Below are 17,911 nucleotides of genomic sequence, written 5' to 3'. Positions count from 1 at the left end.
GGTTTATTGGAGGAAACCTGGACCCTGCTACTAGGGAAGTCATGAAGTCTGAGTCCACAGAAACTGGCCTAAAGGTTTGGTTTGTAGATGCTGGCCTGAAAGCTAGGAAACAGGGTCCACAGGGGCAGTTCTGGAGCCTGGATTCTTTGGGGCTGTGCCAGCAGTGGGGTCTACTGGAATGAACTTAGACCCTAGGTCTTCTAAAGTGGAGATCTACAAGAGCAACTCTGGTACTGGGTGGATCCACCAAAGTGATCTGGAACTTGGAATGGGCCTGAAGTCTGGGTCCTCAAGTGCCAGCCTGATGGCTAGGGAGTGCTGTTGCATGCCTCAGGGTGTGGAGGGCCTTGTAACTGGGTCTGTCAGGAAAGCCTGTAGCTACAGGATCCAGCCTGTGCTGAAGCAGGCCAGGATGCTCTGTCCACAGGTACAAGCCTGAAGTCTATGGCCATGGGGGCCTGCCTAGTGCTAGTCTAAGGTTTTAATTGGGTCCCAGGAAAATTCTAGTGCTTACTTTCCTGTTCTTCCCTTCAGTAAATGGTATTTATCTCTATGCTGTGCTGCCTGGTCTTGTGGGGACAGGTGACATGGGTAATTTGAAACTGTCCTTTCTACCGTCTTCAATGTATCTCTTATTTCTGTGCTACACCAGATGCTGTAATCTCTCATCTGCTGTAATGTTTAAATCATTTAAAAATGTCAGTACTTAGAGGAAAAATTATCTAAGGCCCATCTTCAAATTGTTTGAGAACATTAATGTCATAACCACTTTGAGAACTACTGCATTTGAAAAGTTTAGAGGATATATCTGAGTTCCCATAGATATTGGCACATGCAACCCCTCCTGGGTGTTTTCAGTAATGTACATTCTTTAGGCACTGAATTTAATATGTTCTTTTATACCTTAGAAATCTTCAATGAAAACATTGTACTTCTATTATTGTAGCTATGCAAATTCATCAGGTTTGTATTCCAGCTTCATGATTTTATAGCTTTATGATATTGGGCAAACTGATTTCTCCATCCTCAGTTTCTGTGGGGGAATGAATGCTAGAAAGTCCTATTCCAACATCTTGCCTTATTTTCTCTAAAATTTACTTTTAAATGTATATACATGAAGATTCTCAATGTACATAAGCATGTTATCTGCAAATACTACTAGTTTTACTTCATTTTTTCAAATCTTATGCCAGTTATTCTTCTTTCCTACTGCACTGGCTAGAAGCTTTCGCACATGCTGTATGGAAGTCACAATGTCAGACATCTTCATGTAGTTCCTACACTTGGGGGTAAAAAAAGGCTTTCAGTATGGGACTGTTAAATATAATGGCCACTGCAGGTATTTTTTTTTTAATCATATTGAGGTTCACTTGATTTTATAAAATTTTTCTGCTTTCTTCCATTAATGTAATGAAATGCAATGACTTTCAAATGTAAAATAAATCTTGCATTCCTGGAATAAACCCATCTTGGTTATATTATTTTATGTGTCATTAGATTTTAATATTTTGTTTGGGAATATTGTATCCATGTTCGTTAGAAAACTTGACCTGCAATTTTGGTTTCTTGTAATGCTCTTGTCAAGTTCTATTATGCTTACCTCAGAAGGCAAGTAGGGGAGTTTTTATTTATTTTATATGTCATGGAAGAATGTGTATAAGATTGGTGCTTTGTTTTGCTCTTTCTTTAGCTGTATGGAAGAACTTACTATAAAATTCTATTTTTAATAGAAAATATCTGTATATCAAAAGATGCAGTTAAGTAAATAATGAAAATGCAAGACACAGGATGAAAGATTTTATAACACAAATAGCCACTGAAGAACTCTTAACTAAAATATATAAAGAATTCCTACAAGTTGAATCAGAAAAAAAAAATACAACGTTATAAGGCCCATAGACAAAGGAAAAATAGATGGCATACACTTTGAAAAGCAAAACATGAAAATACCTTTCTCTAGAGAGAAATATGAGAGAAATATAATACTATATTTTAAAAATTTGAAAGAATCTACAAACAAAACTGGAACTAAAAAATGAGTTTAACAAACAAGGTCAGTATTGGGGGAGGAGCCAAGATGGCCGAATAGGAACAGCTCCAGTCTACAGCTCCCAGCGTGAGCAACGCAGAAGACGGTGATTTCTACATTTCCATCTGAGGTACTGGGTTCATCTCACTAGGGAGTGCCAGACAGTGGGTGCAGGTCAGTGGGTGCGTGCACCGTGCGCATGCCGAAGCAGGGCAAGGCATTGCCTCACTTGGGAAGCGCAAGGGGTCAGGGAGTTCCCTTTCCGAGTCAAAGAAAGGGGTGACGGACCGCACCTGGCTGGGAGGGTCCTACGCCCACGCCCACGGAGTCTCGCTGATTGCTAGCACAGCAGTCTGAGATCAAACTGCAAGGAGGCAGCGAGGCTGGGGGAGGGGCGCCCACCATTGCCCAGGCTTGCTTAGGTAAACAAAGCAGCCGGGAAGCTCCAACTGGGTGGAGCCCACCACAGCTCAAGGAGGCCTGCCTGACTCTGTAGGCTCCACCTCTGGGGGCAGGGCACAGACAAACAAAAGACAGCAGTAACCTCTGCAGACTTAAATGTCCCTGTCTGACAGCTTTGAAGAGAGCAATGGTTCTCCCAGCACGAAGCTGGAGATCTGAGAACGGGCAGACTGCCTCCTCAAGTGGGTCCCTGACCCCTGAGCAGCCTAACTGGGAGACACCCCCCAGCAGGGGCACACTGACACCTCACACGGCAGGGTACTCCAACAGACCTGCAGCTGAGGGTCCTGTCTGTTAGAAGGAAAACTAACAAACAGAAAGGACATCCACACCAAAAACCCATCGGTACATCACCATCATCAAAGAACAAAAGTAGATAAAACCACAGAGATGGGGAAAAAACAGAACAGAAAAACTGGAAACTCTAAAAAGCAGAGTGCCTCTCCTCCTCCAGAGGAACACACTTCCTCACCAGCAACGGAACAAAGCTGGATGGAGAATGACTTTGATGAGCTGAGAGAAGAAGGCTTCAGACGATCAAATTACTCTGAGCTATGGGAGGACATTCAAACCAAAGGCAAAGAAGTTGAAAACTTTGAAAAAAATTTAGAAGAATGTATAAATGGAATAATCAATACAGCTTAAAGGAGCTGATGGAGCTGAAAACCAAGGCTCCAGAACTACGTGAAGAATGCAGAAGCCTCAGGAGCCGATGCGATCAACTGGAAGAAAGGGTATCAGTGATGGAAGATGAAATGAATGAAATGAAGCGAGAAGGGAAGTTTAGAGAAAAAAGAATAAAAAGAAATGAGCAAAGCCTCCAAGAAATATGGGACTATGTGAAAAGACCAAATCTACGTCTGATTGGTGTACCTGAAAGTGATGGGGAGAATGGAAACAAGTTGGAAAACACTCTGCAGGATATTATCCAGGAGAACTTCCCCAATCTAGCAAGGCAGGCCAACGTTCAGATTCAGGAAATACAGAGAACGCCACAAAGATACTCCTCAAGAAGAGCAACTCCAAGACACATAATTGTCAGATTCACCAAAGTTGAAATGAAGGAAAAAATGTTAAGGGCAGCCAGAGAGAAAGGTCGGGTTACTCTCAAAGGGAAGCCCATCAGACTAACAGCGGATTTCTTGGCAGAAACCCTACAAGCCAGAAGAGAGTGGGGGCCAATATTCAACATTCTTAAAGAAAAGAATTTTCAACCCAGAATTTCATATCCACCCAAACTAAGCTTCATAAGTGAAGGAGAAATAAAATACTTTACAGACAAGCAAATGCTGAGAGATTTTGTCACCACCAGGCCTGCCCTAAAAGAGCTCCTGAAGGAAGCACTAAACATGGAAAGGAACAACCAGTACCAGGTGCTGCAAAATCATGCCAAAATGTAAAGACCATTGAGACTAGGAAGAAACTGCATCAACTAACAAGCAAAATAACCACCTAACATCATAATGACAGGATCAAATTCACACATAACAATATTAACTTTAAATGTAAATGGACTAAATGCACCAATTAAAAGACACAGACTGGCAAATTGGATAAAGAGTCAAGACCCAACAGTGTGCTGTATTCAGGAAACCCATCTCATGTGCAGAGACACACATAGGCTCAAAATAAAAGGATGGAGGAAGATCTACCAAGCAAATGGAAAACAAAAAAAGGCAGGGGTTGCAATCCTAGTCTCTGATAAAACAGACTTTAAACCAACAAAGATCAAAAGAGACAAAGAAGGCCATTACATAATGGTAAAGGGATCAATTCAACAAGAAGAGCTAACTATCCTAAATATATATGCACCCAATACAGGAGCACCCAGATTCATAAAGCAAGTCCTGAGTGACCTACAAAGAGACTTAGACTCCCACACATTAATAATGGGAAACTTTAACACCCCACTGTCAACATTAGACAGATCAACGAGACAGAAAGTCAACAAGGATACCCAGGAATTGAACTCAGCTCTGCACCAAGTGGACCTAATAGACATCTACAGAACTCTCCACCCCAAATCAACAGAATATACATTTTTTTCAGCACCACACCACACCCATTCCAAAATTGACCACATACTTGGAAGTGAAGCTCTCTTCAGCAAATGTAAAAGAACAGAAATTATAACAAACTATCTCTCAGACCACAGTGCAATCAAACTAGAACTCAGGATTAAGAATCTCACTCAAAACCTCTCAACTACATGGAAACTGAACAACCTGCTCCTGAATGACTACTGGGTACATAACGAAATGAAGGCAGTAATAAAGATGTTCTTTGAAACCAACGAGAACAAAGACACAACATACCAGAATCTCTGGGACGCATTCAAAGCAGTGTGTAGAGGGAAATTTATAGCACTAAATGCCCACAAGAGAAAGTAGGAAAGATCCAAAATTGACACCCTAACATCACAATTAAAAGAACTAGAAAAGCAAGAGCAAACACATTCAAAAGCTAGCAGAAGGCAAGAAATAACTAAAATCAGAGCAGAACTGAAGGAAACAGAGACACAAAAAACCCTTCAAAAAAATTAATGAATCCAGGAGCTGGTTTTTTGAAAGGATCAACAAAATTGATAGACCGCTAGCAAGACTAATAAAAAAAGAGAGAAGAATCAAATAGATGCAATAAAAAATGATAAAGGGGATATCACCACCAATCCCACAGAAATACAAACTACCATCAGAGAATACTATAAACACCTCTATGCAAATGAATTAGAAAATCTAGAAGAAATGGATAAATTCCTCGATACATACACTCTCCCAAGACTAAACCAGGAAGAAGTTGAATCTCTGAATAGACCAATAACAGGATCTGAAATTGTAGCAATAATCAATAGCTTACCAACCAAAAAGAGTCCAGGACCAGATGGATTCACAGCTGAATTCTACCAGAGGTACAAGGAGGAACTGGTACCATTCCTTCTGAAACTATTCCAATCAATAGAAAAAGAGGGAATCCTCCCTAACTCTTTTTATGAGGCCAGCATCATTCTGATACCAAAACCAGGCAGAGACACAACAAAAAAAGAGAATTTTAGACCAATATCCTTGATGAACATTGATGCGAAAATCCTCAATAAAATACTGGCAAAACAAACCCAGCAGCACATCAAAAAGCTTATTCACCATGATCAAGTGGGCTTCATCCCTGGGATGTAAGACTGGTTCAATATACGCAAATCAATAAATCTAATCCAGCATATAAACAGAGCCAAAGACAAAAACCACATGATTATCTCAATAGATGCAGAAAAAGCCTTTGAAAAAATTCAACAACCCTTCACGCTAAAAACTCTCAATAAATTAGGGATTGATGGGACATATTTCAAAATAATAAGAGCTATCTATGACAGACCCACAGCCAATATCATACTGAATGGGCAAAAACTGGAAGCATTCCCTTTGAAAACTGGCACAAGACAGGGATGCCCTCTCTTACCACTCCTATTCAACATAGTGTTGGAAGTTCTGGCCAGGGAAATTAGGCAGGAGAAGGAAATAAAAGGTATTCAATTAGGAAAAGAGGAAGTCAAATTGTCCCTGTTGGCAGAAGACATGATTGTATATCTAGAAAACCCCATTGTCTCAGCCCAAAATCTCCTTAAGCTGATAAGCAACTTCAGCAAAGTCTCAGGATACAAAATCAATGTACAAAAATCACAAGCATTCTTATAGACCAACAACAGACAAACAGAGAGCCAAATCATGAGTGAACTCCCATTCACAATTGCTTCAAAGAGAATAAAATACCTAGGAATCCAACTTACAAGGGATGTGAAGGACCTCTTCAAGGAGAACTACAAACCACTGCTCAAGGAAATAAAAGAGGATACAAACAAATGGAAGAGCATTCCATGCTCATGGGTAGGAAGAATCAATATCGTGAAAATGGCCATACTGCCCAAGGTAATTTACAGATTCAATAACATCCCCATCAAGCTACCAATGCCTTTCTTCACAGAATTGGAAAAAACTACTTTAAAATTCATATGGAACCAAAAAAGAGCCCACATCGCCAAGTCAATCCTAAGCCAAAAGAACAAAGCTGAAGGCATCACACTACCTGATGTCAAACTATACTACAAGGCTACAGTAACCAAAACAGCATGGTACTGGTACCAAAACAGAGATATAGATCAATGGAACAGAACAGAGCCCTCAGAAATAATGCCACATATCTACAACTATCTGATCTTTGAGAAACCTGAGAAAAACAAGCAATGGGGAAAGGATTCCCTATTTAATAAATGGTGCTGGGAAAACTGGCTAGCCATATGTAGAAAGCTGAAACTGGATCCCTTCCTTACACGTTATACAAAAATCAATTCAAGATGGATTAAAGACTTAAACGTTAGACCTAAAACCATAAAAACCCTAGAAGAAAACCTAGGCATTACCATTCAGGACATAGGCATGGGCAAGGACTTCATGTCTAAAACACCAAAAGCAATGGCAACAAAAGCCAAAATTGACAAATGGGATCTAATTAAACTAAAGAGCTTCTGCACAGCAAAAGAAACTACCATCAGAGTGAACAGGCAACCTACAAAATGGGAGAAAATTTTCGCAACCTACTCATCTGACAAAGGGCTAATATCCAGAATCTACAATGAACTCAAACAAATTTACAAGAAAAAAACAAACAACCCCATCAAAAAGTGGGCAAAGGATATGAACAGACACTTCTCAAAAGAAGACATTTATGCAGCCAAAAAACACATGAACAAATGCTCATCATCACTGGCCATCAGAGAAATGCAAATCAAAACCACAATGAGATACCATCTCACACCAGTTAGAATGGCAATCATTAAAAAGTCAGGAAACAACAGGTGCTGGAGAGGATGTGGAGAAATAAATAGGAACACTTTTACACTGTTGGTGGGACTGTAAACTAGTTCAACCATTGTGGAAGTCAGTGTGGCGATTCCTCAGGGATCTAGAACTGGAAATACCATTTGACCCAGCCATTCCATTACTGGGTATATACCCAAAGGACTATAAATCATGCTGCTATAAAGACACATGCACACGTATGTTTATTGCGGCATTATTCACAATAGCAAAGACTTGGAACCAACCCAAATGTCCAACAATGATAGACTGGATTAAGAAAATGTGGCACATATACACCATGGAATATTATGCAGCCGTAAAAAATGATGAGTTCATGTCCTTTGTAGGGACATGGATGAAATTGGAAATCATCATTCTCAGTAAACTATCGCAAGAACAAAAAACCAAACACCGCATATTCTCACTCATAGGTGAGAATTGAACGATGAGATCACATGGACACAGGAAGGGGAACATCACACTCTGGGGACTGTTGTGGGGTGGGGGGGAGGGGGGAGGGATAGCTTTGGGAGATATACCTAATGCTAGATGACGAGTTAGTGGGTGCAGCACACCAGCATGGCACATGTATACATATGTAACTAACCTGCACAATGTGCACATGTACCCTAAAACTTAAAGTATAATAAAAAATAATAATAAATAAAAAATAAAAAAATAAAAAAAAAACAAGGTCTATACACTGAAAACTATAAAACATTGCCAACCAAAATTCAGGATCTAAACAAGTAGAGAGACACACCATGTTCATGTGTTTGTTAGAAGACAGAATATTTTTAATATGGCAGTTCATCTATAGGTTCAATGAAATTCCTATCAAAATCCAAGGAGGTTGTTATTCGTTTAATAAGTAGAGTCTAATAGATATCTGGAAAGGCAAAAGACCTAGAATAGTCAAAACAATAATTTTTGTGGAAAAAAAGAATAAATTGAATGTCTAACACTATCTGATTTCAAAACTTACTAGAAGGCTACAGTAGTCAAGATAGTAAAGTATTGAAATAAAGATAAACATATAGATCAAAAGAACTGGAAAAATACCCAAGAAATAAATCCTGATATTTATGTTCATGTCAATACAATTCAAATTAGTCTTTTTAGCAAATGTACATGTAAGGAACAGAGACCTTTAATTTATATTATACATAAGAGTTAATTCAAACAGCATCATATGTCTAAATATAACAGTTACAAATACAAAACTTATGGGAAAAAAAAAGGAGAAAATCTTTGTGACCTTGGATTAGGTAAAGATTTCTTAAATATGACACCAAAAGCACAGCCATGAAAGAAAAAGATAAATCAGATTGTATCACAATATATCTGATAAATGACTTGTGGTCCAAATATATAAAGAACACATGTAACTCAAGGTTTTTAAATGGGCAAAAGTTTAAAGTAGAAATTTTATTAATGAAAATATACAAATGGCTAATAAACACAAGATGCTCAATAGTATTAGTCTTAGGCGAATACAAATGAAACCACAATGCGATAGCACTACATGCTTATTAGTATGGCTAGAATCAACGAAACTAATATGAAATATTGGTAAGAATGTGAAGAAACTAGAAGCTTCATACATTGCTAGTATGAGAATGTAAAGGTACAACCACTGTTATAAACAGATTGGAAGTTCTTTAAAATGTTAAGGACATACTTACCGTATGGCCCAGCAATTGCACTCCTAGGTATCTTACCAAGGTAAGTAAGTGAACACATATCTCCACAAAGACTTGTATATTCATTGTGGCCCTATTCATAATAACCAAAAAGTAGAAGCAACCAAAATGTGTGAGAACTGATGAACAAAAGTCACACATTGGCATGTTATTCATCCATAAGAAGAAACAAACTACTGATTCACAAACCTCTGTCATTCAAAACCCTCTTTCAATATTTATATCTTCCCCTTTGCAGGACTTGATTTTATGAGACTATTAAGGGTGCAGTGGTATTTCCAGAAAATGCAGGTGGTGACTATTAATTAAACATGGATAAACCTCAAAAACGTTATGCTAAGTGGGGGAAGCTAGACACAAGAGAGCACATATTGTGTGCTTGCAATTTGTAAAATTTCCACAGAAGGCAAATATATACAAACAGAACACAGATTAGTGGTTGTCTCGGGTGGGAGATGGGAATGGGAGTAGACATTAGCTGTAAACAGGCAGGGTGAAATTTTTAGGTGATCAGAAACTTGATTATGGTGATGGTTGCACAACTCTAAGTTGTCTATAAATGATTAAGTGTATACTTATGGTTAAATTTTATGTTATGTAAATAATTATGCCTCAAGGAAAGCATTAAAGAAAGCCCCACCAAATGTGATATCAAATCATATCCACTAATTTAAGAGAATGAAAATTAACTTAGGATAAGAGAATCAAAATAGTGGTTTCCTGGATAAGAGGGTATTAACTGGGAGGGAAAGTTTCTGGGATGCTGGTGATGTGTTTCTCAATCTGGGTGGTGATTACACAGGCATATTCACTTGGTAAAAATTAGTCAAATAGTTAGACTCAAAATGTGTGGACCGTCCTCTATGGATGTTATCATTTAATAAACACTTCACAAAATGAAAACAAAAAAGTGGTTCATTTTAAAAGTAGGAATCCCATTGCAAATCCTAGAATTTCCTCAGACTGTTAGCTCCGCTTTTATTTTAGAATCTTTATTAAGAAGGTTCATGAAAATCATAGGTTAAAAACAAAACTACACCTAGGCAGTTTATTCTCCAAAACCTAGCAGGTTTTTCATGTGCCTGAGAGATATAGTTGATTCCAAACAGATTAGGTTTCCAAGTGAAATCTAGTCTTCCCCTGCAAAATGTTCGAACGCATACATTTTCTGTTTAAGAGTGCCCATTCAGAATTGCTCTCTTTTTAGAATACTAAATTAACACTGGCATGCTTTTTACTATGACATTTTAGAAATCCCCATTCTATATGGCACTTTAAAATGCTCCTATTCTCCATAACACTAGACAAGTGGTGGCAGCAGTCATTTAGGATGATGAAAAGAGTATTACAGTGATTTACAACTAGGGGTCACAGTTGGAGCTCTTGGTGGGGTTGGGCATGTCACACAATCCTTGTCCCTGTGGAAGTCACCATACCAACTTTACCTAATTTACCAGATTATTGTAAAGGTCAAATGAGATGAAGTTTTGCAAGATGTCATTCCATGTTTTCAGTGTCATCCAAGGCCACTTGTTGGTATTATTAACAGCAGCAAATAAATACATGTTATAAAAATTGACTTGCTTTCACTGCTGCAGCTTTTAAAATTGGAGTTCTAATGAGTTCCTTGAAATGTGCTTATCTGCAAATATTATGTTCCTCCATTTGGTGTAGAAATGGGTTCTCTAATGAACTGCAGACCAGTTTGAGTTTGATATAATCCCAGTGGCAGCATAATTCTGCAGAGGGAGATTAGATACAACCATGAAGGTTCTCAACATTATGTTCACCTTCATCACACTTGAGATGGACAACACACACCATGCCATTGATGATACTCCACAGGAAAATGGAGAAAGTGGAGGGGACCCTGGTAAGAGCACCTCTTCCTATAGAACTTGACTACATGCTTTAGGGGTTAAGGGATTCCTAGTTTGAGATGCAGCCCCCTCTCAGGGAAGATTCTGACATGCCATCCTAGGGAGTGTGCCCCTCACTGAGTACAATAATAATAATGACAATAGCTAACATTTCTCAAATACTATAAGCCAGACATTGGGCTACATACTCTATTTACATTTTCTCCTGTTGGTCTTCTACACAGAAACTAAAGAGAATTTTTTGTAACGTAAATTAGATCATATCCTTCCAGTGCTTAAAACTCTCCCATAGATTCCACTTGCATTTTGGGTAAAATCCTCTTACACCTCACCCTATCTACAAGGTCCTGTGTGGTCAGCCCGTGTCTGTCTCTGGCCTCAGCATATACCACTCTTTGTGTGGTTCATTTTGTTCCAGCCACAAGATACAAAGCACTTTTCCAGGAATGTCCTCAATCTTGATAATCATTGTGTGTGCTCACTTTGCTCCTAGCTAACATGACACCTCTACACAAATGCTTTTCCTGACCCTCCCCTCTGAAACAGACTCAAAGAATTTAGTCATTTGCCTGTGGACACATAGAGGGAAAGTCATGATTTGAATCTAAGACCTTCCGAAGTGGAAGTCAAAAGAAAATATCATTGAAGGAATCTGAGTAAGGCTTTATTCTGAAAAAAAAAAATTCAAAACTGAGTTTTGAGTTGAAGCAAAAATCATTCTTGACTCTGGGCTGGGTTTCTTTTATTGAGTCCAGAAGGAACTTAAATTAATAAAATAAGGCCAGTTTTTGGAGTGACAGAAAGGAAGAAAGTTATAAAACGAGATGAAAATAAAGAGAATCTTTCATCTGCCTTCAGGACAGCTCCATTTTTTCTTCTCATTAAAGTAACTGTTGGGCTAATCCCAGATCTTTTTGTCAAATGGGTCCATGTGACATTGGAAACTGAATAAACATACTGACTAATAACAACTGATGAAGGCAAAAGGTGAAATTTCCACTTAGAAATAGTTTTTTCTTTTTGAAATTTCCCAGGAGCAAGGGGTCATCCAGCTGAGATAATTGCTAATTAACATTGGACAATCCAGGCAAGAAGCCAAACCAGTACCCCCAGTGTTGCAATAGGTTGGCCATTGATTGGATTTCTGACTCTTGATTAAATGTCACCAAATGATTAACTGATTAATCCTCAGACCTTTCTGGAAGAGAATCTTGTTCACCATGCTGAGCTATAGCCTGGTAATTCCACAATTCTTTTTTTTGGCATAGGATCCTTTTGGAAAAAGTTTCATGACTCACTATTTTAATTCCTTCCTAATAGCCTCCTTAAGCTTCTGTTCCACTTGATACTGACTAATGTGCACTCTTTTCTTTGCTAAAGATATGACATGGTTAATTTAATGTATTTCTCAGTATCCTTAGCTAACTACAGTAATATTTAGGTAAGAATGCTTTGGACCAAAAAGGTATAATACAAATTATGAATACTTACCTGTAGACTAATTAGAAGGGCAGTGAAGTCAGACTTCTTGGGTTCACAGCCAACTTTAATACTGTCACCTCGGGCAAAGTATTTAACCTTTCTGACTTCCAGATCACTTACCTAACAAAGGTGGACAATAATTGTATCTATCTTAAAGAGCTATTGAAAATTAAATGTTACTAGAATAAGTCCATGTAAAAAACAAGTAGGAATAATAGACTATATGCATCATCCTTTTGCCACGTTTAGCTTCTCCCAGGAGAGTGACTTGGAATATCTTCACTCTTCTGCTAGGCAGAGTTCAAAAGAAGCAGAGACAGATAGTGCTAGCCTGGAATAGACTAAATCTGATAATACATCCTATTTTGTTATTGGAAGATGTGACTTTTCATCAAATGATGGAAGAATAAAAGCAACTACTAATTATTAAGCATTTTCTATGGGCCAGGCACAGTTCTACATACTTTGTATATGTAGATTTATTTAATCTCCCTAAAACCTAATGAAATTAGCATTAAGAGTGGCAAAGGCAGCAGGCAAACTCAGGCCACTGTGCTCCAGAGTGAAGCAATGTAAGAATTCCCATGCACACTCTAAATTCCCACCTGGTCAATCCTTATACTGGTGCACCACATGCCATCACTTCTCACCTTCTCAGGGTCATTTCAGTTTTATACATTCTCTCATCAATTTCTTACCTCTACTGGACTTTTCCATTCAGATCATAAATATGAAATTTTTTTCATTTTAAGACACAAAATGAAAATAACAAAACTCATTTTAACCTACTTTTCTCTCTAGCTGCAGCCCCATTTCTCTGTTCCCCTTAACAGTATAATTCCTAAAAAGACTTTCTGTGGTACTCTCTCCAAAGCCTCTCCTCCAATTTTCTTTAACTCACTCCAATTAGACTTTCACCTATCCCTTGTAACAAATTTTTTCTTTTTAATATCACTATTGCTCTACACACATTGTTAACCCCAGTATTTCATTCTCCTTTTTCATCCCATTTGACCCATCAGTAACATTTGGAACAAGCAGATCCTCCTTGAAACTTTTTTGTTTTTGAGACAGAGTCTCAGTCTGTCACCCAGGCTAGAGTGCAGGCATGATCTTGGCTCACTGCAACCTCCACCTGGCTAATTTCTGTATTTTTAGTAGAGATGGGGTTTCACCATGTTGGTCAGGCTGATCTCCAACTCCTGACCTCAAGTGATCCACCTGCCTCAGCCTCCCAAAGTGCTGGGATTATAGGTGTGAGCCACCCGCACCCAGCCTGAAATATTTTTTTCACTTGGCTTCCAGGATACCTCAATTGTTCTGGTTCAGCTTCTACCTCTTCCAACTTAACTCCCTGTGCTGCTTCCTCCCCTTCTCCCCAGATTCTAAACATGGGAATAAACCAAGCCTCAATCCTTGGTCCTCTTTGCTTCTCTATCAATAGCCATTCTGCTAATCTAATCTATTTGTAGTACATAAATACCACTACCACGTATATGTTGACGACTACCAAATGAGGTATCCCTTGCCCAGAACCCTCTCCCAGTTTAAATAACCACAACTCTTAAAAGGTTGGCATGCCACCTGTGGTCACTGTTTCTTTTTTGCCTTCAGAGTGTTTGAAATCTTTTCCTGGGCAACTCATGTTGATGGCCTTCAGGGTAGATCTCCTATGAAACTTGTCATGTTATGTTAGAAATATCCATATGGCAATTCTCCCGGGCTTTTAATTTGTCTGAGGGCCATTCATGAAGCAAGAGATTGAAGAAATCCTAGCCTAGTAAAGAGGAGAAGGGAACATGTGATTTCAGCTAAGAGAAAGGAGTTTAATCATGGTACAATGCAAATCCAAATGTCTGTCTGCTCAGTTTCATACCACAAATAACTTTTTTAAACCCCTTTTATAGAATTGTTGTTATATTTATTACGGATGGGGACAGAAGGGTTCACAGCAACCAGTCCTTACTCCCCAAGGCAAATGTCCTCTTAGCATTTAAATACTTCTGTCATCCTTGCATTATAATAAGGTCATACTGTTTTAATTACTATTTCATTTATTTAATAGTCATTATTGTTACTGTGTTTCTCCCTTAGAAGAAGAAATGATAGCTTCCATCCTAGTTTATAAAATTAGAGTAGCCTCAGTTTGCTCAGGTATAAAATAGAAAAATATATCTTCACTTCCAAAGGGTAAGTAAACATTATTAAAATACATGGTATTGGGGTTTAAAGATTGGGAAAATATTGGTCAAGGATACAAAATTTCAGTTAGACAGGAGGAATAAGTTTAAGAGATCTATTGTGCATCAGGGTGACTACAATTACTGACAATACATTACATACTTGGAAATTGCTAAAAGAGTAGATTTTAAGAATTCTTAATACCAAAATAAATGACAAATATGTGAGGTAATGCATATGTTAATTAGATGGATCTGGCCTTTCCACAGTATATACGTATATCAAAACATGTTGTATACCATAAATACAGTTTTAATTTGTCGATAAAAAATAATTTATAAAATTAAGTATTGTAAACATACAAAAATCATAATTTGTCATTATAACATATGTGAAACCTCATTTCGCATAAGGAATCATGAACTGGTCCAGCAATCTGAAGCAAAACAATATAAAATATAGAATTTTAGCTACAGTAGACAATTATACTGCCTAATTGCATAGCAAAGCTAAAATGCAAACTCCTAAATTTCAATCCACATCAGGACTATTCATTTCCAGAAAGCAATCTCTTCACTTAAAATAGTTTATATGTAGATGAACTACAATTTTCTACAATTAAAGAGATGGCTCTATTTCTATCTGATAACTTTTTAAAATCCTCCCTAAATTTTAAGAAAAATAAAAAGAATTACATTGCCTAAAAAGACCAAAGATAAAATTTCCGATGACTCCTACCTATTTCCTTTCTCTTGGAGGTTCATGTGCCCTGAAAACTGTGAGGTCAAAGAATGAATGTCAAAGCAACTGTTAATTTAACCTCTGCAGGATGATGAAGGCTTGAAGTATAAGACTAAGGTTATTTTGTAGAGGTTGGTAACCAGTTTCCTTCTAGGAATGTAATATAAGTAGACACAAAGTGCTTCTGAGACGTGTAGCTTATGAAAAAAGAAAATCTGATTTACTTGAGGGGTTGCAAATTCTGATTCTCTGGAAGTCACCATGTACCATCATTATTTTATAACTCTTTAAATCTTCACGTCTTAGTATTATGCCCATTTTACCTAAGAGCTGAGAGTTTAAGCGAATTTAAATACCTTGCCTAATGGGACAGAACCTAACCTCTTTTCACAGTGCAAAAATATTATCTATCAAGATGAGCAAGTATTCTTCTTGGGGAAAAAAAACAGATGAAAATTATCTCCAGACTAACTGACATATTAGTTTGTGTGTATGTCTTAAATATAAGATTTAAACAAATATACACATAGGAAATACACATAGTGGACCTAGGCAATGTGGCCTGGCAGGAGCTTATGTGGAATAAAGGTTGAAACAATTTGACATGCAATTGTGATTATGAGAACATGAGATGTAGAATTCAGATTATAAGCATGTGGAATGTTTCTGGGTGCTATTCATTAAGAAGGACACCATACCACCAAGTTAGTGTTTTGAGAGGAATATTACCAAGAGGAAAAAAAAAGATTTTAAAACTATCAGCCATGGAGTATAATTGAACAACCGAAGGTTATTTAACTAGAAAGAAAAGATTCTAAGGTCTGTGATACCCTCTTTGAATCAAATGAAGGGACTGTCTTGTTAAGGAAAGACTTGTTATGTACATTGTGACAACAAGAATTAAATTTCTGGAAGTTGCAGGGAGTCAGAAATGTCTTTCATATAGTGTGTTTAAATAGAGTAGTTGAAGACATTCAAGTTCAGAAGAGAATTAAGAGTCTTGAGGAGATAGCAAGTCCCCTACCATCTAAGATATAAAAGCAGAAAGAGTTAATGTGGAAAAATTCAAGCACTGGGATTGAATTAGACTAGAGTCCTCTTAAAGATGTCTTTGCTGAGCATATTAAGAATCTTTGATACAGTTTCTTACTCTGGGATTTAGAGATAAATTTGTGGTGACACAGCCTTTAAAAATTATCTAACCTTCTAGTTTTCTAATTGTAAAAGTTAAAAAAAAAATTAGTCATTAGTCTATCAGTCCAAGAGTATATTTAAGGTCAATGGCTTCATTATTTTTCTTGATCACTATATTCCTCTCAAAATGCATCCATTCTAAGTAATTCCTCAAAATAAACCTAACAGATTTTTTCTTCTCAAATGAAATAATATACCTTTAAGTGTCACAATTAACTTCTATGAGATTTTTCATGATTAAATTTGAAGTAAATTGACAACAGGTTCAGCACTCAAAGTATGCTAACCAATGCTAAGAATTGTATAAATGTTAACTTTCCTAACCTTTGGGACTAGAACAACCTTATCCTCATTGTAGGTCATGAAATAGGCTTGGAAAAGTAAAATATTTTGCCAAATAGTAAAGTGACAGTTATGTCTCAATCTCAGATCTGAGTGACAAGGACTTTGTAACTAGGGATAGAAGTAATAGGTCAACCAAGCTGGGAGCCCACCTCACCTTCCAAGTGGCAAATACCATGCCATGGCAGGGGACATATAACTCCATTTGCATTGTTCTGGCAAAAACTCAGGAACAAGGAAAAAAACAAAAATAGTACTGCTGGGTGCCTTGAACAATGACCGTCTGAGAAGCAATGGCAAGATGATCTTATTCAAGCAGTGGCTTGAAGGGAAGTATTGTGTGATGGAATCTCCCTTCAGGGAGGATTCTGAAGCACACTTCTACCCATGTATCTGGCTCACTGAAATCTAAGAGAGGTTTTTTAGATGGGAGTTGAGTTGGAAGGAGGTGCTGTAAAACAGATCCTTCAGAATCTGCCCTGAGTGGGTCTGCCTATTACATTGCAGCCAAGCAGCCATTCAGTAGTGATTTTATTGACTTTACTCACAGTAGGAATAATGACCTTGTCCACAGCTATCCAGTAAACCATTACCTATGCCTGGAGTCATGTGCTTGCACTTATTTGTTTGTTAACTGATTGATTTAATGTATTCCTTTACTACCAGAGGAGGTCACATACCAACATGCCATTATCTGGATGATTTCTTATTCTTATTAAACCATCTTATTTGTTATTATTCTGTTGAAAATTGACTTCACTTATATCAATACTCCTCCCACCCTTTCCCTTCTCAGCTGTTCCCCTCACAGTTCTGGCTTACATTTCCCTAACGTTCCTTATAATTTTGCAATTCAGTCACACCCTTTCTTTCCTTTTGAACGTTGGAAGATCTGTGTTTACAGACTGCTTTTTCACTCCATACTAGGAGGAATATTTTGCTTTTTGCAACAAGTTTGAACATGCTTAAGTAAAAAGAGACTATGATTTACTTTTAAAAAAGCATCACATCAATTAGAAAATTGGCTATAGTACAGAGATAAGTGTC

General features: G+C 37.7%; 1 long non-coding RNA gene across 1 annotated transcript in view, besides 1 other annotated feature; it reads left to right on the top strand.

The window, feature by feature from the left end:
- Window positions 1–17,911, top strand: part of LINC01470 (long intergenic non-protein coding RNA 1470) — a 353,385-nt gene that overhangs the window by 310,389 nt on the left and 25,085 nt on the right. The gene's annotated exons all lie outside the window — the stretch shown is intronic.
- Window positions 2,297–2,836: an enhancer, noted in NCBI's record as "NANOG-H3K27ac-H3K4me1 hESC enhancer chr5:152038685-152039224 (GRCh37/hg19 assembly coordinates)". NCBI's record gives its function as "activates a minimal SCP1, AML or CMV promoter by ChIP-STARR-seq in naive H9 embryonic stem cells {active_cell/tissue: H9 hESC(naive)}" and the evidence as "EXISTENCE:reporter gene assay evidence [ECO:0000049][PMID:30033119]".

This window comes from Homo sapiens, chromosome 5 (genome assembly GCF_000001405.40).
Source record: "Homo sapiens chromosome 5, GRCh38.p14 Primary Assembly".
Lineage (NCBI taxonomy): Eukaryota > Metazoa > Chordata > Mammalia > Primates > Hominidae > Homo > Homo sapiens.
This window is presented reverse-complemented; position numbering and strand designations above follow the sequence as displayed.